Below are 26,920 nucleotides of genomic sequence, written 5' to 3'. Positions count from 1 at the left end.
ATTGTTTTGTTTTACTATTGACTTTGGAGAATTCCTTATACATTATGGATGCAGAACCTTTGTTGGATGTGTGGTTTAAACATTTTCTCCCACTCTATAGCTTGTCTTTTCATCTCCTTCACAGAGTCTTTGCAAAGCAAAAGCTTTAAATTTTGATGAAGTTTGATTTATCACTTTTTTCTTTGATGAATCATGGTTTGGGTGTCATGTCTAAGAATTTTTCCCTAGCCCTAAGTTTGGACAATTTTCCCCTATGTTTTCTTCTAGAAGTTTTGTAGTTTATGTTTTATATTTATGTCTGTGATCCATTTTCAGTTAATTATTGTATAAGAGATGGAATTTAGGTTAAATGTCTTTTTTTCTTTGCCTATGAAAGTCCAGTGCTCCAGCATCATTCGTCAAAAAGGCTGCCTTTCCTCTATTGAATTGCTTTTCCAAAAGCAGCTGGGTGTATTTGAATGCTTCTATTCCTGGGTCCTCTATTCCATTCCATTGATCTGTGTGTCTACCCCTTCACCAATAGCACACCATCTTGATTACTGTAGCTATGTAGCAAACCTTACCATCTGTAGAGTGATTCCTCCCACTTTAGTGTTTTTTCAAAATTGGGTATTACAGGTCTTTTGCTTTTCCATGAAATTTTAGAATAAACTTCTCTATACTTAAAAAAATGCTTGCTCAGATTTTGATGGGAGATTATACCTACAGGTGCATTTGTGAACACTTAACATCTTTACCATGTTGGCTCTTCTGAGCTGTCAACATGACATGTCTCTCCATTTATTTAGATCTTTGATTTCTTCCAATAATATGTTCCGTAATTTTTGACACACAGATACTATACTTGTTTTGTTACTTTATATGTAAGTATTTCATCTTTTTGGAGTAATGGGAAAAAGCGCAATCACTCTGAAAGCCTACGTAAACTTTCATTTGGTGGATAGATCATCATTTTCCTTATTCTTCCCCACTTGCTGGACGTTTCAATTGTTTCTTATTTCTTCACTGTTATAAATAATGTTACAGCTTTCTATGTGTAAATGTTTTTGATGAATTCTGAGGAGTGAGGTCCCTGGGTCAGAAGGTGTGCACGTTATGCCTATTGGTCGACCATGGAATTTGTACAGAATAGAAGCAGGCTTTCTGTTCAGGGCCCGCCAGTCTGCCCCATAGGGCAGGTGCGTTTCCACTCACAGTGGTATTTCTTTTTCTAAAACACGGACTCAGTTACTCTTTCCATCCTTTCCTGCATTGCAGCTGACTACTCTCTATCACAATTAATATAAAGTTCCATATAAGGCACAATTACTGTTTTTTTGAAAACATGACCTCGTGCTGCACACGTGCCATGGGTTAAGCGGCTGCCGCCATCACTCTGCCTGCCGGAATGGCCTCTTCTGATCTTCTAGCACATCCTCTCCATTTGCTAAGATGTTATCAATTTGAATAATTCATCCTGATCTGCAGCCTAACAGTTTTGCTCTGCCAGCTCTCATCCAGATCACAAACACCGTGCATGACCAGTTGGGCACCAGCACCACTGCCGGAGAGCGGGCACTCAGCTGCCAACTCAGCTGCCGACCTTTCAGAACCATTTTGGGGATGAGACTTTCCCCATCACCCCATCAGCTGTGATACTGATTGCCATGGATTTGGTGGACCATTTTTTAAAAATCCATTACTTAAGCAGCCTTTCCTTGCAGAGCCCAAACTGCCTTCCTTCCTCTAAGTCGGTGGTGTTGCAGCATTGTAGAGTGAGTTGGCCCCGTGCACACTCCCATTTCAGCTGCTGGAGAGGAGGACGCACGTCACCGGCCTCTCTTACCCCAGCAAGCGTCCCTCTGCTGGGTATCTGAACGGTCTGATCAATATAGCCTTGCGATTTTGCTCAGTACACTTGAAATAGAAACTAATTTTGTCTACTTGCAGGGCTGAGGTGGAAGGATCGCTTGAGCCCAGGAGGTCGAGGCTGCAGTGAGCCAAGATCATGCCACTGCACTCCAGTCTGGGTGACAAAGTAAGACCCTGTCTCAAAGAAAAAAAAGAAAAGAAACTAACTTTGTGTGAGAAGAGCCCACCAGCTCAGCGTTCCCAACAGCTGGGCACTCTTGGGATGTGCGTTTTCTTTACATCCTAGTTGACTCAGCATTTTTTATTCTTCTTAATGGAAACATCGCAGCCATCAACTTATTCTGGTAGAGGTATTGACCAAACATTCACCAATATGTTGCTTTTGAAAAAGAATGAGGAGATCACATTGGACACATCGATAATTGAGTCTGGGAGAAGATGATAGTTGTAGAATTTCTATTTTCCCTTTTCTGCTAAAGAAATAGGAAATTTATCCCAATAGGTCTCACTGGGATATGACTGTAGTTTTCTTGGTTATACTGATGATGTAGTTTATGATGATGTAGGTTTTTCCACTTGTGATTTTAAATCCCGTGTTATCAGTTTTCTCTCATCTCTTAGTGCAGTTTCATACTATATATCTCAGAGACAAAAAAAAAAAAAAAGTTTTCCCAGTCAGGGTGACACACTAGCATAAATAATGTCCCATTGGGTGCACACCAGGCATGCGTCCTGGTATCACTGTCACCGGGTTTTTACCTGGCGTTATTTTAAAGTTGTGCTAAATAATACAGATGTATTCAGCCCCTTTGGGCACTCATCCCACTGCCCAGACCGGAAATGGTCCCATCTAAAGCTGTTCCACGAGGAAACACTGTGGCTTGACCTAATCTGCATTCGTGTTCCACCTGCCCCGAGTGTGAGGCTTCTCGGAGATCGTTCCTGTGCATCTTAATACACTCATGTCAGTCAGTAGCTACCGTCTCATTCCCCGATGCTAGTAATGAGTCTTTATAAAGCAAATCATTGAAGATAATTTTCAAGATGAAGTGGAAGGGGTCACGGAGCCATACCTAAAACACCGTGTCAGACACCAACACCCCAGGCTTCCGTGAGGACTTCACACTGACGTTTCCCAGGGAGGTTAAGGATTGGAGGATTTATCAGAATGAGCACACCGACAGAATGGCCGATGTCAGGACTGGGAGCCCATGTGTGTGCAGGAAGCCCTGGCTCTCCACTCTTTGCACGTCTTTTCTGTGGGAAGGAGGCCCCTGCAAAAGTGGCGGCGCTCCATCTGTCAGTCACCGTTTATAAGCACAACTTTCAGAGTCCAATTTGCCTTGACTGTGATTTATAAAAATACCAGCAGACTGAGGGCTGAGAAGAAGGGAAGAGAAAATAATCCACGGGAACAACAGGCAATGAAGGCGAAGGCAGAAACAGTGGCGAAGTGGCAGGGCTTAATTAAAACCAGAGAGGAAACATCCTTGGGAGGTTCCTCTCTCCTCAGTCACTAAAATGAACAGGGACGGGGTGGGGAGGCAGAAAGGCAAGTTTGGATAGAAAGAGAAAAAAAAGGAGAGAAATGCCAAGGCTGGTTTTGCTGCTTCTCCTCCTTTCTTCCCATAGTCTCTGTCCACTCAGTGCTGCTGTGTTCTAGGAACCTTACATTAGCCCAGCCTCAGTTCCGAGGAGCTTCAGTGAGTAGCTTAACGGAGACTTCTCCCCAAAGAGGAAAGGAGCCCGAGCAGCCAGCCCACTCCTAGATTGTCACTGTGCATGCGGTGACTGCAGTGACCACTCTTGGAAGCTAAATCACTTTCATTGGTCAGAAAAAGAAAAAGTGATATTCTAGGATGGATGAGAAAACAGAGCCCAGCCCTGTTCCTGCACATTGCTTTCCCTCCGCGGATTCTGCGGCATCCATTTGAGCATTGTATCGAATAGATGCAGTTCAAACTCTGAAAATGACCAGGGTTGAAATGGAGACCTTGTCTCGCTGAGCAGCCCTCTATCAAGTAGATAGGCTCACACTCCTGAAATTTCAGAGCTTCTATCTGCGATCTTGACATGGCACCCGGTATTTTCCTTTCTCTTTCCTTCTCCTGCTTCCCTTCCTCCTATGATTTTGTAGCAGATTTATTCATCTTAAATTAAGCCATCTTTGTTTCACCTAGATTCCAGCAAGCGCCCATGTCACCAGCCTGATTTCCATTCTTGAGGGTACTCGTTCTGCTGTACTAAATGGCTCACTTATATTTAGCTTTTTAGAAATGGAAGGGAAACTTGTTGTAGAAATGGTTTCCTAAGGAATTGATTGGACAAATGCAGCTGGTCCCATCATTTCATTTCACATTTGCTCACACCAGCAAAAGCAGACACATTTGCGGAGATGCAGAAAGGGCAGTTTAAAGGGCAGAGAAGGCCCCAGAGTTCGCGAGCCGTTACCACTCTAAACGTCCTAGGCCCTGGTTGGAATGGAAGCAGCTTTGCCAGGAGCATGGGTCCTGGGCCTCAGATGATCTGAATTCTCGTCCCTTGAATAGTAAGATGCCCAACCTGCTACATGGGAGGTTCCTTCTGGTTCTTAAGAGTCTTTGGTTCAAATGTCTAGTTATTTTTATTTCGTTTTAGTAATTACAAAAACGGCCTACTGGAGGATTTTTGTCATGGGTGGCATGTGTTCACTGGTGCAGCCAGCTTTCCTGGTAACCAAAGGCCGAGGACCCACGAGCTATCAGGAGTCGTGCCGCAGATGGAGCTCGCTCTCCGGGGGCTGTTCCTGCACAGACTCCCCTCTACTCTTCTCAGCAAGTCTGCGGCTGTCTTTCTTTTCCGGAAGAGGCTAAAAAGCCATTTAGTGAATCTTCTCTCCCTTTAAAAGCATTCCTGAGCTTCCATTCTAGCGGCGTGGTAGACTACATGTGGCTAGCCCTCATGTGAAATACAACCGAAAGTCCTGGATCAAGTATCCCTTTAAGAATGTTTAAAAGTGTGAGTGAGCTGGGGAGTAAGGAATACGCAGAGGCCAAACCCTGTGTTAGAGCAGGGAACCCAAGGAAGGAGACAGTTAAAGCCAGCTTTCTCCTGGAGGCCAGGTGACAACCTGGTGAATTTGAGCTTGGCTGTTTACAGCCTCACAGGGCAGGGGAACTGGTGACAAATCCCAGGGCTGGCCCCAGGCAGACCTCTTGCCCCACTTCCTGCATAAAGCTGGGACTTTAAGGAGCTCCATCCCAATGTGAGAAAAAGCCAGAACAAGACCTGTCTCACACACACTCACGTATGTGCATTCCACATGTACACATGCGCACACACACGTGCACACACTCAGGACAGTTGCCTGTGATGGATGGGCCTCTAGAACTGGACCTCTGGGAGCAGCCCCTGCTGGAGATTGAGATTTGAGAGTTGTCAGTGTTTATTCACATGGTTTATAAAGCCCGGAGACAGGACGAGGTTCCAAGGGGGTAACTACATGGAGACAAAAGGCCAGGGACTGTGCCCAGGGGAAAGGTGACCTTGGCAGACACAGAAAGAGGGGGAGGTGGGAGCGAACCCAGGGGAGTAGGATGTACTGGAATCCAGGTGAAGAGAGTGTTTCAAGTGAGAGGGAGTGAATAGCCATGCCCAGTGCTATGGAGGATGGAAATTTAGCCACTCGATTTAGCAATGGGTAAGATTTGGATGGCTTGAGAAGGGCACCTTTGGTGAGATAATGAAAGTCAGATTCTAGACGAAGCCAAGTTTAGAGATTCCAGACCAAGAAGGCCTTGCCCAGGGCCTGGAATCTGCATTTTAACAAGTTCCTTGGGGTGATTCTGAAGCAGGTGGGCAACATAGAACATTCATACGTTCAGAACCTCCAGGACACGATACTGTTCCTGGGCAGGTGTGTCCGGGTTCTGTGCCTTGAGAGAATGACTTGCGATGTGGTACTCTGTCATTAAGCGTTTATATGATGCCAGCCTCTTTGTCACCTGGGATTCAGGAGGGACTCCACCAAAGCTGCCCTCAAAGCCAGGCTCTTGTCCACCTGCTCATGAGTTCATGCCGTCAGCAGCAGAACAGTGCTGGCTTGATGGGACCTGTGAGTTGGAGATACGTTCTTTTCCACATTTTCATAAACCACCTGTGTAATAATATATTCTGTTATTATTCTGGAAATTAATATCCTACATGTGAATCTGCGATTTATAGAATGACCTCTCTCCTTTTTTGGAAATGAGGTGAACCCTTGCCTATTTTGTTTCCTATGTCCTTATCATTAATATTCCACAACTTTTAATTTGCACTTTTTATAAATATTATCCCTTTAATGACATGAAGAGCAGGTGATTCAGAGCAGAGGAAATGACCTAAGAAGGCGACTTTGGCCCAGAGAGAGGCATGCAGAGCCAGTGGCCAACCGCCCTCATCTTTCTCCCTGTCACTCCCACTTCCCAGCCGCTCCCAGCAGCTGCTGAAATACCTGCCCGGGACTTCCTGCAGTCATTGGAATTTTGAGTGCAGTTCTGCAGGAATTTTAAAAATTCCTTGTCACAATTTGTCACATTCAAACATCATTTAAACAGTTTATACCTCTAGTTTTTCTTTCTTACGTTACAAAATGTTTGGAATTGTTGCTTATGGAGCTAGCACCTGATCACCGTCCCAGCTCCTCCTCCCAAAGCTCTCAAGTTAGCTTTAAAAATACTGTTTACAGTAGCTGTGCTGGAAACCACATGCTCCTGCCATGGATGCAGCCGATTCAGGAACAGACTTGATCTTCCTAAGGCATTGCATGCAAATCCTCATCAAGCTCTAGATAAAATTACCTGCTTCATAAAACAGAAAAGGCACATATTTCAAAATGAAATGTGAGTAACATTTTCATGCTAGTTGCCCCTTAGGGTGGTTGTCATGAAGGGATCCAGAAACCAGGGCTGTCCAGAGAGGGTCGTTATCAGCAGTGCCCGGGAGTATGGTGCTGGGGCTTCATCTGGCTGTTTCCTATTCACACAGACCCCAGAGTGCGCGCCGAGTCCATGGAACACCAGATCTTTGTTTGTTTTGTTTTGTTTTCGTTTTGGGGAAAGTGAAAAAGAAAGTTAAGCATCCTCCAGCAAGTTCAAGCTAAAATGTCACTGTGAAGGCAGAACTCTGAAGTCTGAAAGGTGATGCTCTTGGGGATTTTTTTCCATTGACGCCTCAGATGCTTTGCGGTTAAAAACCTTACTGATTTGAAATGAGAAGTGAACTCTATCGCAATATTATTAGGGAAGAAAGCTGGCGTTTTTCATGTCATTTTAGGAGATGAAATTATGTGTGTACTTCAGGTACATTTGCTCTCAATACTTTGACAGAAAGAATCTGCACAAAATTTGAAATGTTATGAGATATCTGCGTCGAAGGCTTTGATTCGAAACGTTACAGAAATGACTAAAGAAGGTGAACTTCTGCAACGGAGGTGGGGGTGTGGCATGGACCGGGGAGGCGGGAGGCAACAGGGGATGGCAATTTGGAAGTGCTGAGGAAGGCGTGAAGCCAGCCTAAAAAACGGGCTGACTGGGAGCAGGGGAACACCCATGGGAATTCTGAGGTGCCAGCGTCCATGGCCAGGTGGCATCCAAGTAGCCCGGATGCTGTCACTCTCGCTTCAGAGCCTAGTCCCACAAAGGCATGTCCCACAAAGGCAGTGAAGGGGACCAGGACCCATGGGACTGCATGAGCTCATTCACCACAGCTGTGGGTCTCAGACCCTCCACAAAGAGCTGCTGAAGAAAAAGGAAGGAACTGGAAATCTTTAGGAAACATACACAAGGGCTGGGAAACGTGCCCCAGGAAAGGGTGGTGGCTGCAGTGTGAAGCCTCCCTGGCCAGCTCGTGCCTCGCCTGCCCCACACCTCTGGGCGGTGTTGAATTTTACTTTCTGTTCTGCAGTGTGGCCGTTGCCATGCTCTCGTTACCAAAATGAAGTCACAGAAGGGTGTGCTTTGGTGGTGATTCCTTTTTTCATAGTGTGGGCGTCGCATTAACACAGCTGCATGATGGGAGCTATTTTGGGAGGGAGGCTGGGGTTTGGATGACTCATGCGCGTGCTAGTCCTGTAGGTAGAGGATGTTAATGGACCCATTGCGAGGACAGTGTTTTAGTAACAGAAGAGGAGTATTTTGTTGTTCTTTAAATGACAAATCGTCTGCAATTTCTTTCTTCCTTTCGTAGGTCAATGACGGGAAAAGATAGCATACATGTTTCCATGATGAATTTTTTTGAACTTGGGCTCCTGCCTTTGTTTTTTGTGCAGGAAGCCACCTCCAGCAGCCGCGTGGAAGGTAGTGGTTCTCACAGGCAGTGACACACGTGGATCCCTGAGGGCCTCATTTTTTTCTGTCCCTTTCCATAAACCAGGAGATTTCACCACAAAAGCTGCACAGTCTCGGGTGGCTAGCATGGTCCTGCAATTCTAGTAAGCCTGTGCTGTGAAGGGAGGAAGGGCTTAAAATGTGATGTCCCCTCACAAATTAGCATCTAAATATAATGCCCATTGGCTGGGCTGTGCCTCTAGCATTTTTACTTACTCATTCAAGAAGTAATTATGAAGCAACAAAATTGTAATTCTGTATCTTCCAACTGCACTCATATGAACTTCAGGATGGATTAAACAGAGTCAATTTTGGCTATACTCATTGTTTTCCCAAACAAACAAAAAAAAACCACTGTTTTTACAAAAATAGCAAATCATCCTTGAAGATATGGAGACGAAAGTGTTTCCTTTAACTGAGAATGGAAAAGCCATGGATAACTGCATAGGCCTCTAATCCGCTGTGAGTTTCCACGGCTCAGACACCTTATCTGCTTTTACATGTGCCTCTATTTGTGACATGGAGGTAAAATAGCAAGATTTATAAGTAACCGTTTTGAGAAACTGAATTTTTCAAACATCGTCATGTACGTTATTGCTATTGTGATTTCATTTGGAAGTCTTCACTCTTAGAGTAAAACAGAGGGTGGAAGTACTTGGCTTCGAAGTCAGTCCTTGATGAGAAGCCCACCTCTATCACTTCCAGCTATTAATGTGTAATCTGAGTCTCAGGAGAAAATCTCCACTTCACAGTTTCTTCATGAAAAGAAGCAATGAGGAATGAGAGGCCCCTGGTTCCCAGAGCACACTATGCATACAATTCCTGGTTGCTGTTTTTGGATGCGCATTTTAGCCAGCAGTTTCTGAAGTTTTTCAGCCCCTCACCCCGAGCTAAAACTGTAGAAAGGGGTGTACGAATGTATAGATAGTGGAACAGAAATCTCAGAGAAATGCAGAGATAAATTCAAGGAACAGTTGGGCTCGAATGTCTCATGTTGGGAGAAACACCTCCTTTCCAGTGTTCCATTTCCAGGGCCTGGCACTTGGGCAGATGGCCTACCCCTTTACAAGGGAAGTCATGTGACTCTGGGGACAGGAAGCTCTGGGATGAAAATTTGTAGTGTTTTCTGTCAGTGTTTTCACTTATAGACTCTTTCTCCTACAGGGAAATCTTGCTTTCTGGGCTGGTGGCAAATCTTACCTGACTGCTTCTTCTGAAATATAATCTATAGGATGGCAATGACGTGTTCTTTACATTAGCTTTGACAAACATACCAGGGATAGCGTGAATCAGAAGGAGAAGGAGGACAAGCCGTCTGCATTTTCCAGACCACTTCTCCATCTAGGAACCCGTCAATATGCTTTTGCTGTCATTTTGTTCCATAGTTGCTATATTCATCGTACCAGAACTTCTGCCCAGACTGTTAAAGAGCAGAATGGATTTCATTGAGAGTACCCTTAGATTTTTCGGAGGCCTTGGTAAGACCAAATGACAAAAGTCCATGGAGAAAAGAAACCATGAAGGCCCACAGGGTGCACACAATAACCACACACATCACCAAGTTGATTCCATAAAACTAAATGGGCCGGGCGGGGTGGCTCACGCCTGTAACCCCAGCACTTTGGGAGGCCGAGGCAGGTGGATCGCGAGGTCAGGAGATCGAGACCATCCTGGCCAACATGGTGAAATCTCGTCTCTATTAAAAATACAAAAATACAAAAATTAGGTGGGCATGGTGGCAGGAGGCTGAGGCAAGAGAATCACTTGAACCTGGGAGGTGGAGGTTGCAGTGAGCCGAGATCCAGCCACTGCACTCCAGCCTGGGAGACAGAGTGAGACTCCGTCTTAAGAAAAAAAAAAGAAAAAAACACAACTAAATGGTGTCTCCACTTTCAAACTCCAGCGCTAAAATCTGTAACAGACCCAGCTCGTGGTAAACTCAGGGGAGGAGGAAGCTGTGAGCGGCTCTGAGGGACTCCTCGCGGTGTGTTTCTCACCCGTGCCGCTCTCTTGCAGGAAGAAGGCGTCGTGAAGGAGATAGACATCAGCCATCATGTGAAGGAGGGCTTTGAGAAGGCAGATCCTTCCCAGTTTGAGCTGCTGAAGGTTTTAGGACAAGGATCCTATGGAAAGGTAAGTTCAGCCCTGGCTGTCTCTTGAGTCTCATTCCTGAACACAAAGGACACCTGGACAGAGCCCCCCTGGATGAAAATTGCAGGCGGTCCTCACCTGCAGGGCTGCGATCACGGGAACCTGGACAGTTCAGAACCGGGGTCTCACTTTGCACAGCCAGAATTCCAGTGGCACAGGGCTGGGCTGTGCCAGGTGAGAACAAAATGCCGTTGGAGCCGTCACATGCACTTTTGCCTTCTCTCTAGAGCCTCCCTTGGCTCTTGGTAAATCATCACCAAGGTGAGGAAGGTTATTGACCTGAGCCAATGTATCTTTGAAAGTGCATTCTAGCAGCTGTTTTCCCCAAAGAAAGAAAAAAATAAGAGAACAAGGAAAAAAAGAATAAAGAAAAGAAAAGAATCCATTCCTCTGGATTGGGCACAGGAGCCAGGAAGGCTAGGGTCTGCAGCCGGCTCCCCTCCTCACCCTGCACGATTGCCTCATGAAGCCTCAGCTTCCCCACCCACTAAATGGAAAGGATAAAACCTACTTTATACAGTTGTTCCATGGAGTAAATAGGGCACGAATCCCACCCAGCAGGTGCCTAAGATGTATTTGTGCAGTGGAATTGTTCATTTCCCTTTTTTGTCACCTTCAAATTGCAGCAATAAAAGCTAATTTCTTTCAGGAAATGAGAAATAGTTGGCTCTTCATTTAATGCCACGTCCACATACAACAAGATGTCAATAACGCTTTTCAATTATGATGACACGTGACTTACTCCAGCACAATGCTGATTTCTCTGCCTCCTTGGGTTAGCTGTTAGAAATATATAGGCTCTGACAACTTGATTTCTAGAACATAAGGGCCTGAAATAAACCATGAAGCCAACCGTTCCTTACATGTAAGCAGAACAGCCTGGCTCTTTAAAGTAACTATTTTTGTGTGGTATGTAGACATTTACCAAATCTTTGCATTCTTCACATGACTTTGTGCCAAAATGCATGTGGCTGCTGTTAATTTAAGTGTAGAATGAATAGTACATTAGTGTTCTGGATAATCCTACAGTCCGCATGAACTGGATGGAATGAATAGTACATCGGTGTTCTGGATAATCCTACAGTCCGCATGAACTGGATTGTTTGTAAAATTTTTATACGTTAGATTAAACCATAGGAAATTACCAGCAATATTTTGGGCCTACAAAAATGTCTATTTAATATGGCTAGTTGATATGGTGTTTATGAAATAGGGGGATGAAGATTTCAGTTTCTCACGATGTTAATAGCCATTACCAAAAAGCACAAAATCACAGAAGGCAGAGCCTGCGTAATGTGACAGTGGAATGCCTCACTATTAATTAGAAATGTAGAGAAAAAAGAGAGAGGAGAATAATTTTCTCCATGATTTGAAAACAGAGACAAGCAAGCATTCTTTCCTTTTTCCACCTTTCAAGGGTGTTGCCCATGCATTGTTTCTTGAGAACAGATTCCACCTGTGGAAGCACAGAATCAGCCGAATCGTCTTTATCTGGAGGGAAGGAGCGCTGGAATACATCCCATGGCGGAGGCCCAGGAAGTGTCTGGAGGGCTTTGGTTGACCAATTCTGTTACAGAGTGAATCTTACCAATGTCCTCCTCACAGAACTGGGGTATTAAAGATGAAAGGAGAAAGGCTTTTCCAGCTCCCTCGTTCAGATTTCAAATTTTGAATTTTAATTTTGCTTTAAAAAAACATGTTTTGGAAAACAAGTGAAATCATGGTGTTTGGCAGAATCCCGTTGGAATGATAATGCTCATAACACTCTGTCCCTTTCCTTCCCAGCCTTTCACCACTTCTAATTTTATCTTTACTTGTGTCTTTATTATATGAGGAATTAAAACGTAAAGTTTCAAGAACAGTAGTAGGTAGGGGAAAGAGAAGGATGAGGCAGTGGCAGCGCCCATGGGTGTCTGACCTCCAGGGATTACGGAATGGGCCAGCTCCAGTAATGCCTGTCCAGAGCTGGTGTGAGGGGCGGGGCAGGAGGTCCAGGCTGGGGCTGGCGTGGGAAGGGAGGCTTAGGTCCGCTTCGTGGATTAATGCGAGCTGGACTCTGGAAAGAAGAGATACTATTCTCAAAAGCGTTGCTCAGACATTTCCAGGGAAGGTTGGAGCTAATATCGTCACTAGAGAGTCACAGATACAAATTGTATTTGTCCACATAGGTTTGTTTGTGGTGAGTTTTTTTAATTTAAGCAAAACTGATGACGAGGGGGAGAAGCCGTGTGTTCTAATGCCCCACGTTACTGTATTCCTCCTCTCTACATGCAAATAACACAACCTTATGCAAGAGTCATCTTCCCTTTTGCACCTACCAGGGACAGAAGGACAACACTGAATGTTCTCATTCTGCAGAAAGCACCTGTTCTTCAGGTTTCCACCTCCTGCCTCCGCTCCAAAGAGCAAAGACCTGGTGTGAATCTGGACGCAGTGTCCCGGGACAGGCCTTGCCTGGGAGCCGAGTCCTTCAACAGGGCTCATAGTTGCCTGTCACTGAGCCACTCCATTCTTTCTCTCTTATTTAATGATGACATTGGAGATGCAGAAATGGATGACATGCAGTTTCTTCCCTTTAGACTTTTTGCACTGGTGCCAGCTCCTGACCTCAGACTGCACCAGGAGCCATCCGAGTGACTTGTCCCATTGCCTGCCTGTGTGAGCCGCTTAGGCTCTCCGAAGCCGCTGCTCTTCACCTGGTCAGCCGGAATAAGCTTGTTCCTGTGGGAGAAGCTGCACTCACCACCAGCGGGAAGCGTCTATGAGCTCTGAGCTCAGTCCTGCAAGGCGAAGCCATCATGATTTCATCGCTATCTAGAGAGCAGGGCCATGGGTGGTGCTTGGGACCAGAGAAAAGCACAGAAAACAGCCTTATCCTCAAAATGAAAAGCAATTTAAAGCTTGAATCAGGAAAGCAATGAAAGATGGTGAAGCTTGTTCAGTGTTGAAAGGAGGGGTGCAGACCCAGTGTTCCCTGCGAGCTTAGAGGAGGGAGGTGTGGGAACCACCCCGGGGCTGGGAAAGTGGCTTTGCCCTGGTCCCACCTCCTCACCTGCTCCTGGAGCTCCCCTATTCGCATAAGTGCCAGGAGTAGGATAGGAAACCTCTTTTCCTTTAAAATATTCTGGAGAATGAACTGTAGGTTATGATTCCTGCATTCGAAAAAGGAACCAAACCAAAGTTTTTTAAAAATCCTTGCTTTCTCTGACTTTGCTGGTAGCATGATAAGAACATGTCTTTAAATGTCTTCCTTTTGGGGGTGGCTGTTACTCAAAAGTCCCTGGAAGTGCACATGGGCATTTAGCTCCTGCTTGAAGGATTTTGCAGCCCAATAGAAACCCTCCAGTTCTGAGAGAGAGCTGAGAATTCTGCTGAGAGAATCAGCAGATCACGGTGATCCATGACATCATGAGGCAGTTCAGAGTGACATCGCACCTGTTGCCAGGTCGCGGTTCTCACAGCATCTTTGCAATGCAGCACGCCAAGCTGCTGGAGAGGCAGTTCTAAAAATGAAATGAGGGGGCACACACAGCGCCCACTGGGTTGAGTATTAAAGACACAGTGCCTGCGTTAGCTCGAGGTTACAGTGTTGTTTTGGAGCTTATTCCACTACATTAAAATTGATCTTCAGTGACAAGAATGACAGCAGAGAGGGAGAGGGAACTGCACGGCACCCAAGGGTCAAGATCCCTGTCGCAGACCAGCAAGTTGCCACACTCGTTACCAAAATCATTTTTGCATTTTTGCTGTATTTTGCTGCTCGTCTCAAGGTGCCGTTCCCCTCCACTGGGTCCTGTGCTTGCGAGTCAGGCAGCACCTGCTGCAGGAATTCGCAGTACCTGGCCCCACAGAGAAGCTTGGCAGACATTGGTAGGATGGAGTTTTTTCCATTCTTTTAAAAAGCAAAAGTATGGTTCTCTCTTCAAAACAGATAAGTATGAACATTAGCCACGACCATCAGTCATCTCATCTTTAAGGCCTAACATACGAGAGAGAAAAGTTTCATGTGTCAAGACCTATGCAAAACTTGACATCATTTAAACCAAATCTTAACTGGCAGCTGCCCCATGTGGACTTGGTCTCCAGTTCAGACTTGAGTGGAATGGGGCTTCCTCTGCTCTTTGAGTTTATACGGTCGTACTTCTTATGGGTTAGGGGTTGAGTGCAGAGGTATTGAAAGTACGGACCCACTCAGGATATTGTGAAGGCTGCACCGTCCAAACACAAATCCGTCATGTACCTTGCTTCCTTTTTCTTCAGGGTCCTCCCATTTTGAAAGAGGGAGCTTGTTGTTTGCAAACTCCTGGGCTCAAGCGATCCTCCTGCCTCAGCCTCCCGGATAGCTGGGCCTACAGGCACGCACCACCAACCACCACACTCAACTAATTTTTGTTTTTTCTTTCTTTTTTTTTTTTTTTTTTTTTTTTTGAGACAGAGTCTCGCTGTTTCGCCCAGGCCGGACTGCAGTGGCTGAATCTCGGCTCACTGCAAGCTCCGCCTCCCGGGTTCACACCATTCTCCTGCCTCAGCCTCTCGAGTAGCTGAGACTACAGGCGCCTGCCACAGCGCCTGGCTAATTTTTTGTATTTTTAGTAGAGACGGAGTTTCACCATGTTAACCAGAATGGTCTCAATCTCCTGACCTCGTGATCCGCCCGCCTCGGCCTCCCAAAGTGCTGGGATTACAGGCGTGAGCCACCGCACCCAGCCCTAATTTTTATTTTTATTTTTACTAGACCTGGGGTTTTGCTATGCTGCCCAGGCTGGTTGCAAATTCTTGGCCTCAAGAGATCCTTCTGTCTCAGCCTCCCAATGTGCTGGATTACAGGTGTGAGCCACTGAACCTGGCCCTTTGTTTTCTGATTATAAGAATGCCTTATTTTGGGAGCTAACATGTCAGCTTCGCCGCAATGGAATGGATAGATTCATCTGTCACCCTACCAAAGTCCACCATGGGCTGGAGCAACCACCCAAGGCTTCCATCCTCCACACAGTGACTCAGTGACCAGGCTGCCCGGTTTGTCCTGCACCAGGTGTCCTCAGTTGCCACAGCAGGGAGTGGCAGCTGGAACGTTTTGCACCTGCTCTTCATTGCCTAGGCCAGGAAGGCACACCCCTGCCCTTGCTGGTGTCACTGCCCAACTTACCTGCAGGATGCCGGGGAAATGTGGCGTCCCTGCCACAAACACAACTGTCCCTTGTTCCACACCCCCTCCGACTTTTTTGGGACCCAGGTTCCTCTCTGCCAGTGCGGCCTCTCCGGCACCGGGACGCTCACGCAGCCTTGCCCAGCTCCTGGACTCCTGGGCTGCGCCTGCCTCCTCCCTGCACTGTCCTGGCTGGTCCTGATCTCCACAGCACCACTCATCAAGTCAACCTAGGGACATTAGGCACACGGACGGGCTGGAGAAATGAAAGGAGTTGCATCAGATGGAAGCTAAAACTGTGCATGGCATGTGACTTTCCCGTGATTCAAAGCAGAAGATCTCAAGAGTTAAGCACTAATGTTTTTCTCTCTGTAAAAATCCTGTCCTCAGACCACTGCCTTCACATCTCTACCTGCCTGTCAGGAAGCTCGCCCACTGCACAGAGGGAACACCCTGAGGCAGAGTCCTTCCATGTGCAGTAACTTCCAGGGCTACAGTGGGTCTGCCAGCAAGAGCCATGGGATCCTGAGCCCGGAGAAGGGCTTGTGCCTGTGTCTCCCACCACAGTGTGCGTAAGGGTGATGCCCCAGCTATCGCCCCAGGGCTTCACCACAAGCTTGTTTATCCAGCTTTGGGGACACACACACACACACACACACTCTCTCTCTCTCTCTCTCACACTCCACACATCTCCCAGAGATGAATATTAACTGTCGGTGATGGTATAGTCTATAACCCAGGGGAAGAGGGAAGCCTCTTTCTAATTGCCTGTGACTTCTTGGGACCTAATCGGGTCCGAGAGGCAGCATTTCATCACACAGGATGATGCTGTACCGTCCTGCACCCCGGGTAGGGGTGCTGGGGTGCTTTCCCATGGGCGTCATCTAGAAGAGTCCCCACCTGGGGAGGGGCTGTGATTCAATAATGACAGTGATCGGGACAGATGGCAGGGCAGCAGTGGGGTCCGGAATCACTTCAGGGGCACATGGTGAGAGCGTGACACTGATACAGCAACTCCGTGAATCCACATGCCTGTGCTGGGACCTTGCGTCTTCCCGGTCCCTCTTTATTTGTGCCTCTAGAATAGACGCTGGTTGGTCTCCCTCCAGTTGGGCTGCCCTAGCAGCCCCTGCTCCTAGAGCCCCTGCACTCGGTAAGTGTCTAGACGTTGCCCCTCCAGTCTTGGGGGGGAGCCAAGAGTGCAAAGGTCCCAGCCATGTCCCTCTGCCCATGGCAGGTGAGGCTGCTGCTCCACACGGATGCTCACTTGGGCCACCTGGAGTTTCCATGGAACTAGAACATCTATAGTGGCTGGTCTTTCTGGCTTTTTGAGGCTTAGTAAAGGAGACGTTTTGGGAAGGAGCCACCCTACCTCGGCCCTCCAGCCATACTGCATGGGCAGCCACACCAGTGCACCGTGTGCCTGTGTCATCTCCATCATGCAAGCAGATATTTGCATCTATTGGAAAACACTTTTAGGAAAATCAAGTACTATTTTCTTAATTTGCATGGAAGTTTTTTTTTTTATACAAAGGAACTCCAGTTTTGTTTACTAAGTTTGTTAAAAAATCACTAATACAAATTTAAACTCAAGCTCTCAATTACCTTTTTTTGTTGTTTTTCTCAGTGATACACATCAAAATGTATTTCAGAAAGCATTGCCAAATATCCGTAAGTGTATTTAAGATCCAGTTAGAAAGGAACTCTTAAGCTACTCACAGCTAAAATTTGGGTGAAGACAGTTGAAGTAAGAGAAAGTAGCTTTTCTTGAAAATCGGATAGAGCCTGTTTTGTGTGATTGGTAATACCTTTCAGCGTGGTCTCTCAGTAAGGATTTACAGAGGGATACTCAAACCAAAGGATCTCCCTTAAAACTCCTGTTTGTTTTTCTAAACAGCTGGTCTTCAAAACAAGGGGCGGTATTATTTCTGGCATAAAATGCAAAGTTAATGATACCAAAAACAAATGACGCTTCTTCATACAGGCACATAGTGATGTTCGCCGCAGAGCTATAGGAACTTAGAGCATTTTCCGGCAGCCTTGACGTTGGAGAAAATTTTAAATTCTCACCAGTGTACTTGTTTTATTGAAAATGCTCTAAACTTCCTTGTGTATCCCCTTGTCAAATCCAATATGGAAAGCGAGTTTGAAGTCTTACGGGTTTCTGATGTTCCGTTTTCTCTTGCTAAGGTGTTCCTGGTGAGGAAGGTGAAGGGGTCCGACGCTGGGCAGCTCTACGCCATGAAGGTCCTTAAGAAAGCCACCCTAAAAGGTAAGAGCTTCGGAAGGGCCGGCTGCTTCAGAGACAGGTAACTGCAATTTCTACTCCGTTATTTGAGGAAATATTCATTCCATTTAATGTTCACGATTTCTGAAAATGTCTCTAAATGAGCACATTACTCTCTGATTGATAATAAACAGTATAAACATTTCCATGAATATTTAAAATATCCCTGCAGAGTTTCCACAATTGTCAGAGAAGAGCTGTATTGCGTAAATACCATTCTCCCACATATGTTCTGCCGTGGAGCGGCATTGGGAAAGCAGAGCAGCAGGCTGCGAGCAGGCTGTTGGGCTGGATGGGGCCTGACAAACCAGCCTCGATACCGGCAGGCCGACGGCCTCACTCGGTTTTAAATACAACGTGACTCATGGTTGGGTTGGGTTGTTTTCCTTTGTTGACCCAGTGACTGGGCATTAGAAATACCGATTTCTGCCCAGCTCCTCTGCACGCCCATCCTGCAAGTGAGGGATGAGCCCCTAGTGCAGCGTTAGAGTCAGAATGTGATCCAAAATCTCCGTTCCAGGCTCACAGTCTTTAAGCCCGTCACTAGCTGGGCACCTACCGTATCTGTTCTGATCACCTCCTATTCACTGTGTTGGTGAGAGAGGGAACTTCCCCCTGCCCTAAACAGCATTAGGCGATTGAACACACAGCGCCGGGCACTGGACAGATGAACTGACAGCAGCTTATTAGTTACATAAACTGACCCCCTGGGGAGGAGGGCACCCCGTGCCACACAGGGCGTCACGGGGGCAGCACTTAGGTGCCGAGACGGTGAGAGGCAGGCTTCCTAGGAACGGGAGGGTCACGTGGCCCCTGGTTCCTGCAGAAGGTGTGGCTGGCTTGTTGGAATGATTCTGTGGGCTGGCAGGGAACTGAAGCCTTTTAGGGTGGGTGCTGGATGGGGGCAGCTGGTCCAGCTTATGGGGAAACCTGCAGGGTAGGGAGACTTTCTCTCTGGGAGGGGGGCACACTTGGCAGAGCAGGGAGCTCATGCAGAGGCCTTGGGGCCCCATGAGGCTCTGAGATGTGAAGGCGGCACTTGAATTTTTAGGTCTTGCAACAGTGTCCCCAGCAACTACAGGCAGGGGAGCAGTACAAATATATCATTCTCTGCCTTCAGGTCACTTGCCTTCTAGCTGAGGAAATGAGATATATGTTGGGAAGGACCTGTCACCAACAAGAAGGACAAAAAATGCATAGACCAAATATGTACAGACTTTAAACCACTTAAGTATACAAAGGAGGAAAAGAGCTCTTCCAAGTGAGTTAGAAGGTCCGTGGGACTTCTGGTGAAAATTCTATAGGGGAGAGAAATCTGGTTGACATTTATCAGTACAACCAATGGTAAGAAAATGCAGAAGTTGACCACTTTGGTTAGACCTGATTAGAATTGTCTGTGTGTTTGGGGGCGGGGAGAGGACTGTTACAAACACAGATCCTGGCCCCACTCCTGATCTACTGAATCATCATCTTGTAGAAACAAGGCCTAGATATATGACTTTTCAAACAAGATGTCCCAGTAATTCTTACGTACACAAAAGTCTTAGGTGAGACATTCTAGTTTATTGTAGGCACTCAAGTTTTTAGTTCAGTGTTATCAATTGTAACGTAATTTAACCCATGCTTTTTAGAGTGAACTTTTTTTTTTAATGCTTTAAGTGCTAGGGTACACGTGCACAACGTGCAGGTTTGTTACATATGTATACATGTGCCATGCTGGTGTGCTGCACCCAGTAACTCATCATTTACATTAGGTACATCTCCTAATGCTATCCCTCCCCCATCCCTCCACCCCACCACAGGCCCCAGTGTGTGATGTTCCCCATCCTGTGTCCAAGGGTTCTCGTTGTTCAATTCCCACCTATGAGTGAAAACATGTGGTGTTTGGTTTTCTGTCCTTGCAATAGTTTGCTCAGAATGATGGCTTCCAGCTTCATCCATGTCCCTACAAACCATATGAACTCATCCTTTTTTATGGCTGCATAGTATTCCATGGTGTATATGTGCCACATTTTCTTAATCCAGTCTATCATTGATGGACATTTGGGTTGGTTCCAAGTCTTTGCTATGGTGAATAGTGCCACAATAAACATGCATGTGCATGTGTCTTTATAGCAGCATGATTTATAATCCTTTGGGTATATACCCAGTAATGGGATGGCTGGGTCAAATGGTATTTCTAGTTCTAGATCCTTGAGGAATCGCCACACTGTCTTCCACAATGGTTAAACTAGTTTACAGTCCCACCAACAGTGTAAAAGTGTTCCTATTTCTCCACATCCTCTCCAGCACCTGTTGTTTCCTGACTTTTTAATGATCACCATTCTAACTGCTGTGAGATGGTATCTCATTGTGGTTTTGATTTGCATTTCTCTGATGGCCAGTGATGATGAGCATTTTTTCATGTGTCTTTTGGCTGCATAAATGTATTCTTTTGAGAGGTGTCTGTTCATATCCTTTGCCCACTTTTTGATGGGGTTGTTTGATTTTTTTCTTGTAAATTTGTTTAAGTTCTTTGTAGATTCTGGATATTAGCCCTTTGTCAGATGGGGAGATTGCAAAACTTTTCTCCCATTCTGTAGGTTGCCTGTTGACTCTGATGGTAGTTTCTTTTGCTGTGTGGAAGCTCTTTAGTTTAATTAGATCCCATTTGTTAATTTTGGCTTTTGTTGCCATTGCTTTTGGTGTTTTAGACATGAAGTTCTTGCCCATGCCTATGTCCTGAATGGTATTGCCTAGGTTTTCTTCTAGGGTTTTTATGGTTTTAGGTCTAACATTTAAGTCTTTAATCCATCTTGAATTAATTTTTGTATAAGGTGTAAGGAAGGGATCCAGTTTCAGCTTTCTATATATGGCTAGCCAGTTTTCCCAGCACCATTTATTAAATAGGGAATCCTTTCCCCATTTCTTGTTTTTGTCAGGTTTGTCAAAGATCAGATGGTTGTAGATGTGTGGTATTATTTCTGAGGGCTCTGTTCTGTTCCATTGGTCTATGTCTCTTCAGTTACAGCTATCTCTTCAAAATAGGAAGTTAAATTAGACATTTGTTAGTGCAGGATCATCTGAATGCCAACACAGTGAACTGTTCTTGCAGTTTCTCGAAAGGTTGACCAGAGATTACCATGCGACCTCACTGGTCCACTCCTAGGCGGTTCACCAAGAGAAATGAACACAGCTGTCTACACAGAAACTAGCACAGGAATGTTCATGGCAGCACCAGCCAATTCACAGTAGCCAAAAAAGGGAAAGAGCTCAAATGTCCACTATCTGGGAAATGGAAAAATAAAGTGTCTATCTATTCAACGGAATGATATTGGGCAATAGAAAGGAATAAAGTACTGGTGCCCACTCCAACATGGGTGAAGCCTGGGAAGAGTGTACTTAGCGGGAACAGCCAGGCACCAAGCCGCACGGGTTAAGATTCTACTCATATGACCGTCCAGGAGAGGCAGACCCTAGAGACAGGAAGTAGATGAGTGGTTTCCTAGGCTGGGGGGTGAGAGAGGTGGGAACTGAGTGCAGACAGGTCTGGAGCTGCTTTTGGGTGATTAAAATCTTTAAAACCCACCGATGGTACACAACTCTGTGAATATCCTAAAAACCATTGAATTGTACACTTTAAATGGGCAAATCATATGGAATGTGAATTATATCTCCAAAAAGCTGTTATTCTTAAAATGAACAGCTGCTAGATAATACGTTCCTTTCCTAAAACCCACTCTTTCATCCTCGAGGCATTGAGATTTGCTCTCAAACACAGATGAGGCATCTTCCTGTGGTTTAAGACAAAGGCAAGTGGATGCGGGAAGCTCTCCAGCCTGTCCTTGGCCACACACTGTCCTACTGTCCATCAGGCGGTTCCATGTTCACCTCTCCAGGGCACCAGGAGTGACCCGGAAGAGCTCCTTTTCTCCTTCAAGCGTAACGGTTCCTTCTTTCCCTTCAAAGTTGGCCTCACCCTCCCCCGCCACTGAAGGAAAGGGAGGCAAAGTGGGAATGCAGCTGGAATCTGTGCCTGCCTGCTCTGCTCTGTAGGAATACAGTGGAATGGAGGAGCGGGAAGCTGCACCCTGTTTAAGTTGTCGCTAAGCCTGGACTCCCTCAGGGCTGACCTTGGCCTCTTAGCTAAAGTGCAGAACGCTCCATCTCGATGACTTCACTCTCCCTAATGCAAGTATCCACGGCTGTTTATAATCCAGTCCACAGTGTCCTTGAGAAACGGCTCCTGATCCATGGTTATGTGGAATAGGCTGGACATAAAACTCTGTGTACAGAATAATCATGGTATTGTTAAATTTAAGAGTGACTTGAGCAGTAGTGAGGTGTGTGTATTTGTGTGTACACACATGAGATGGACATTGTGCCAGAAGCAAACATGCCAAAGTGAAGGGCTGACTTACAGGATTGGGGCTAGCTGTTGTCTTCTTCCCTATACTCTGTTACTGCAAGTTTTCAACAGAAATGAAATATCTCTAATTTTTTTGTAATGTAAAGTTATTTTTAAAATATTTTGGAACAATGTGCTTGAGTAGCTAAAATTATTTTTATGCTATGAAAATGAGCCATGTGGCTGGATGTGGTAGTCACACCTGTAATCCCAGCACTTTAGGGGGCAGAGGTGGGAAGATTGCTTGAGCCCAGGAGTTCGAGACTTAGGCAACATGTTAAGACCCCATCTCTACGAAAAATTTAAAAAGTCAAAAATTAACTGGGTATGGTGGCGCACACCTGTATTCCCAGCTACTTGGGAGGCTGAGGTGGGAGGATTGCTTAAGCCCAAGATCTCAAGGCTTCAGTGAGCTGTGATTGTGCCACTGCACTCCAGCCTGGGTGACAGAGCAAGACCCTGTCCAAAAAAAAAAAAAAAAAAAAAAAGCCATATAAACATAGAAGAATAGAAACATTTTTGTTTCCTTGTGTTCCTTAAAAGTCAGCTTTAAAACTAATCATTGTTTTACATCTTATACTGTTTCGGCTTTCCGTAATGATCCATCACTAAAAAGTAGATTTTTTTTTCCCAAAAATTTCATTGGAATCTATTTTCTGAAGAGAAAAATAGAAAAGCTTTGCAAATAATACTTTGCATACTTCGAAGTAGGTTAGGTCCCTGGATCTAACCATGATGCAGCGGAGTTATGTGGAGAGGAGGCCTGGCACTAACTAGCACTAACTGGTACTAACTAGCACTTAGCCTGGGCAAGGACACCTGCTGGCCCAAAACCTTAGTTTCTTGTTTCTTCCTCATCTGTGAAAGAAGAGAGTTGACTCAAAGGGACCTCCAAGTTTGTCTCAGCTCTAACACCTCTGCGTTCCATTAGCCCAAGTTGTTCAAGTATCTCCTAACCCGTTCTCCACCCTCATAATATCCCTGATTTGTGAGATCATTAATCATCCTGAAGAATGTCAAGGAGAAAGAAGGAACGCATGGTAACAGCCGCAGGGATGCTCTCCACCTGCTGACAGCAAAACCCCGAAAGCCCAGGCGGCCGTCCAGGGAAGATGCCAGGCATGTGAATAGTCAAATGTTTTGAAAAAGAAAAATGAAAGGAGGCGGGAGACCTGCAGAAGTCATTTTGAAACTCCAGCTTGTTTCTCCAAACCGTGGCTGATTGTCCTGTGCCTGGAAGTGAGGGTTGTCAGTGGGATTCCTTCCAGCTCACCTCGGAGGATAATGGCTTCCGACGGCTCCATTTGATCTCCAAACAAGTTTGGAGCGTTGGGCACCCGTCTCCTTCCTTTAGAGAGGGGGTGGGTCACTTCCGAGGGAGGTCATCTGCTCAGCTGCTGAGGGGGCCACACTGCTGGGGTGCGCTTGCAACCTTGCTCCTCTCCCTCTGACCCGGCGGTGCTGCCTGTCGCCCCAGTACTTAAGGATGCCTTAAATGTGCTCGACTCCTTTAACTTGACAAAGCTTCCATATTCATGACTCAACATGGAGTTATTACAGGTAACCGTTCTATATAATGCATTCCACATAAAATGAATTCCAAAGGGTAATATCCCCACTTTGTATTGTAAGGGAACTTGATTTAAAAGAATGTGTTGCAAAGAAACGTGTTCCCAACCGTGAGACCAAGAATGAACCAAGCCTCATCTTCATCAAACAGGGTTGGTCATGCACCTTAAGAGATGGGCTGTATTGTATGGAGCAGTAGTTCTCATCCTCAGCTGCAAGCTGGAATGGCCTGGGGGACTTTCACAAGATGCTGATGCCTCGGACCCCTCTGGGAGACTCTAAGTTGGTTGGTCTGAGCGCGAGAATTGATGAAAGCTACCTCCGCCGGTGTCTCTAGGGCACTGCCAACATGGAGAATCCCTGATACAGGGGCCAGGAACACCAAGTCCAGACCCTGGAGCTGAGTCCAGCTCTAACCCCACGAGCTGTGTCATCTTGGGGTGCCTCTCCTGGCCTCAGTGTCCCCCTGCTGAAAGTGGGATAGGTTGTATTAACAGATAACTACCCCACATCATTGCCGACGTGAGGCTCTCCCTTGTTAGAGTGTGCAGAGTGCTGCCGGCTCAAGCAAAGGCTTGGAAAGTGTAAGCTGTGTTCACCTTCAGCCCTTTTCTCCACAAAGACTGCTTGGCTTTGGAGCTGTGTTAGGACTTTCCTGGTTGAGGTTTTATTTAGTTCTGCTGAATAGGGATGTGGGGAGGAAGTTAGATGCCACCTGGTTAGAAAGAATGATGTCTTGGTTCAGCTGTAATACCTCCAGTTACAATATGAAAGGCCTGTGATCATGTTCATGACTAAAGATGGCCGGTGCCTGCACGGAGAACACAGGTGCGCCCTTCTGCAGGAGGGCTTGCAGTGTGGAATTCCTTCGTCTCGGTAGGCGCTCTCCGCAGTGTCGAATGAGCTGCTTACGTGAAATATTTCTTGGTAATGATGATTTTTCTGATAGGACTGCACCTGGGTTTTCATGCCTAACTAGTTTTCAAGCATTTTCCCTGCAAGTCAACTTTCTCAGCCTAGAGGAGATATGCATTCCCTTCCTGGAAGGAAATAAGCTGTGTTCAGTTGTTTGTAAAGGAGAAAATAAAATCATTCCAGCAGAATCTCTCTGTTGAAGCAAGTCAAGTCACTGATGGTTATGCTGGTGTGTGTTTTTGGCAGCTGTGTGGTGGGTCACTCTCATGGCACCCACGGCAGTCAGGAGATGCTGGAATGGGCCTAGGCAGCACAGTCCGAGCTTGCCAACATGTCAAAGCCCCCTCTGTCCTTCCTGTAAGCAGTGGAGCACGTCCTGTAAGATGGGATCACTGCAGAGGCACTGGGAATGCAGAGCTGTGTGTAGTGACCCGCATAGACAGGTATCAATGACAGCATCTTGAAATAGAACCTCCTCGGAGTTAGCCCGCCTGGCTGCAAACCCCAGAATGTTATTTTCAGCACCTCTTTATTTGTTTTCCTCTCTTATGCTGAGATGCTTCGTTAGAAGGCACTGAGTCACTCAGAAACTCAGCTCCGATCAATCTGGTAGCTTGAACAGATTGTATTTCCATAATATGCTAATTCATTTATGTCATTTGATTCCCATTTGGATGATTTCAGATTCCCAGGGGAGAAAAAAGTAAGGAAAATTCTAAGCACAATTTTGCCCTCTCTTAAGAGGGGAGGACTGTTATTATTATTATTATATTTTTATAAATCATCATCTTTATTTACGAATGATGAAACTAAGGCACAAGGCAGCAAAGTTACTCAAAAGCGTATTGTTTGGAGGTGGTGAAGGTCAGAATCCTATGCTTATCCCAAGATAACTCCTGGGGTCCCCAGGCCTCCCTGGGCCAGCTGCATCCTCACCAGATGACAGACTCCCTGCATTTCTTCAGCAAGAAGCTACATCCCTGCTCATGGTACTTAAGGTGTTTACTCTTCAAGGGATTCATTTCCCATTTAATTGCATAAGATGACAAACAAAATGAAAATGTCTCCTCCTTAAGCCATCTTTGACTTCTGTCTTTCTCAAGCCCTTTGTAAGGTACGATCTCACTCTGTCTCTTGCATTTCAGATAAACATCACCCTTACCTAACAGGCATCTGATTTATTACAGATACACCCGCCTCTGTATGGTGGAGTCCTCTATGTGTTTATTACCAGAGTTGCATTTCTTGAATTACAGATATTCAAAAAGGAGGAAATAGATTTTTTTCATTACTTGTCATCTTTAATACCTCTGCAGTGTAAGTAGTTAAGAGTAATGGGCTTAAGATTTTTCTGACAAAGATTCTCTATTAAGGAAGTCAGTTAAGTAACCATATCAGTCTTTTAAAAAATACTTGAGTATAGAAGAATAAAAAGACACCTGTTGGGGAGTCATGCCCATTCTGGTAATCAGTGTGGTTAACTTTGCTTCTTATTATTTATGGTTTTCTTCTCTTCCTTTATGTGTGGAGTAATTCACTGTAAAAAGTTTGCCCCCAAAAGTTTAGCCACACGATGGCTCGTGGAAGTCCGTTTTTTACTATGAATTAAACCTTTGAAAGCTAAAAGATACTGTGGGAAGAAGGACTTTTATTCTGCATCTGGGAGACTGCTCGGGATATAATTTCAGGCTCAATAGCCTTTATGGGGGTAAAGAAAGGAAGTCTCAGGCAATGGCCGCGCAGTGGGGGAGACCGAGCTAGCACAGCCCGCACTCTCCAGTGCTGGTAAGTCTCAGGCGAAAGTGTGTCTGTCGGCTCAGTCTTCAAAATCCCTCCAGTTGCGCTGCATCAACCACAAAGCATCATCGAGCCTCTGACTGCCAGGCCTTCAGGTCACCAAGGCCGTCTGCGTATGCTCAGCCCCCCACAGAGGTGTGTGCAGAAGCCAAGGTCCCGTGGGTTTGTGGCAGCAGAGCTATTGGCACTGCACGGTCAGTGCGGCATCCACTACGTCCCCAACACAGTGGTTTCCTTAGGTGCATTTACACAGCCATTGCTCATCTTCACAGCAGCTGACAGAATTGCATTTAATTTAATTTTATCTTAACCTTAATTTTCTTTTGTATTATCACCTAGATAGAACAGAACAGAACAGTATGCTATAATATGATACGATACGTGTCTTAGTTCATTCAGGCAGATATCACAGAACATCATAGATTGTGTGGCTTCTAAACAACAGAAATTTTTTTCTCACAGTTCTGCCA

General features: G+C 45.8%; 1 protein-coding gene across 9 annotated transcripts in view, besides 5 other annotated features; it reads left to right on the top strand.

Annotated features, from left to right (window-relative positions):
* The window catches only part of RPS6KA2 (ribosomal protein S6 kinase A2), a 453,410-nt gene that overhangs the window by 313,775 nt on the left and 112,715 nt on the right, over nucleotides 1-26,920 (top strand). For 7 of the 9 annotated variants that reach the window (XM_047419235.1, NM_001006932.3, NM_001318936.2 and 4 more), the window contains 2 exons: nucleotides 10,215-10,331; nucleotides 17,686-17,767. The exons of 1 other annotated variant lie outside the window; for it this stretch is intronic. In XM_047419235.1, coding sequence (XP_047275191.1) covers nucleotides 17,737-17,767 — 31 coding nt within the window. In that variant the 5' untranslated portion in view covers nucleotides 10,215-10,331; nucleotides 17,686-17,736. Of the gene's footprint in view, nucleotides 1-4,308; nucleotides 4,400-10,214; nucleotides 10,332-17,685; nucleotides 17,768-26,920 lie in introns of those variants that run through there. One more of the 9 variants, NM_001318938.1, reaches the window with a different exon arrangement.
* Nucleotides 4,801-5,721: an enhancer, noted in NCBI's record as "H3K27ac hESC enhancer chr6:166956766-166957686 (GRCh37/hg19 assembly coordinates)". NCBI's record gives its function as "activates a minimal SCP1, AML or CMV promoter by ChIP-STARR-seq in primed H9 embryonic stem cells {active_cell/tissue: H9 hESC(primed)}" and the evidence as "EXISTENCE:reporter gene assay evidence [ECO:0000049][PMID:30033119]".
* Nucleotides 6,069-6,669: an enhancer, noted in NCBI's record as "OCT4-NANOG hESC enhancer chr6:166955818-166956418 (GRCh37/hg19 assembly coordinates)". NCBI's record gives its function as "activates a minimal SCP1, AML or CMV promoter by ChIP-STARR-seq in naive H9 embryonic stem cells {active_cell/tissue: H9 hESC(naive)}" and the evidence as "EXISTENCE:reporter gene assay evidence [ECO:0000049][PMID:30033119]".
* Nucleotides 6,840-7,059: an enhancer, noted in NCBI's record as "active region_25436". NCBI's record gives its function as "activates an Ori minimal core promoter by ATAC-STARR-seq in GM12878 lymphoblastoid cells {active_cell/tissue: GM12878}" and the evidence as "EXISTENCE:reporter gene assay evidence [ECO:0000049][PMID:35858748]".
* Nucleotides 7,650-7,769: an enhancer, noted in NCBI's record as "active region_25435". NCBI's record gives its function as "activates an Ori minimal core promoter by ATAC-STARR-seq in GM12878 lymphoblastoid cells {active_cell/tissue: GM12878}" and the evidence as "EXISTENCE:reporter gene assay evidence [ECO:0000049][PMID:35858748]".
* Nucleotides 15,479-15,980: an enhancer, noted in NCBI's record as "H3K4me1 hESC enhancer chr6:166946507-166947008 (GRCh37/hg19 assembly coordinates)". NCBI's record gives its function as "activates a minimal SCP1, AML or CMV promoter by ChIP-STARR-seq in primed H9 embryonic stem cells {active_cell/tissue: H9 hESC(primed)}" and the evidence as "EXISTENCE:reporter gene assay evidence [ECO:0000049][PMID:30033119]".

This window comes from Homo sapiens, chromosome 6, assembly GCF_000001405.40.
Source record: "Homo sapiens chromosome 6, GRCh38.p14 Primary Assembly".
NCBI lineage: Eukaryota > Metazoa > Chordata > Mammalia > Primates > Hominidae > Homo > Homo sapiens.
The sequence above is the reverse complement of the archived record's forward strand: the minus strand, read 5'-3'. Positions and strand labels throughout refer to the sequence as shown.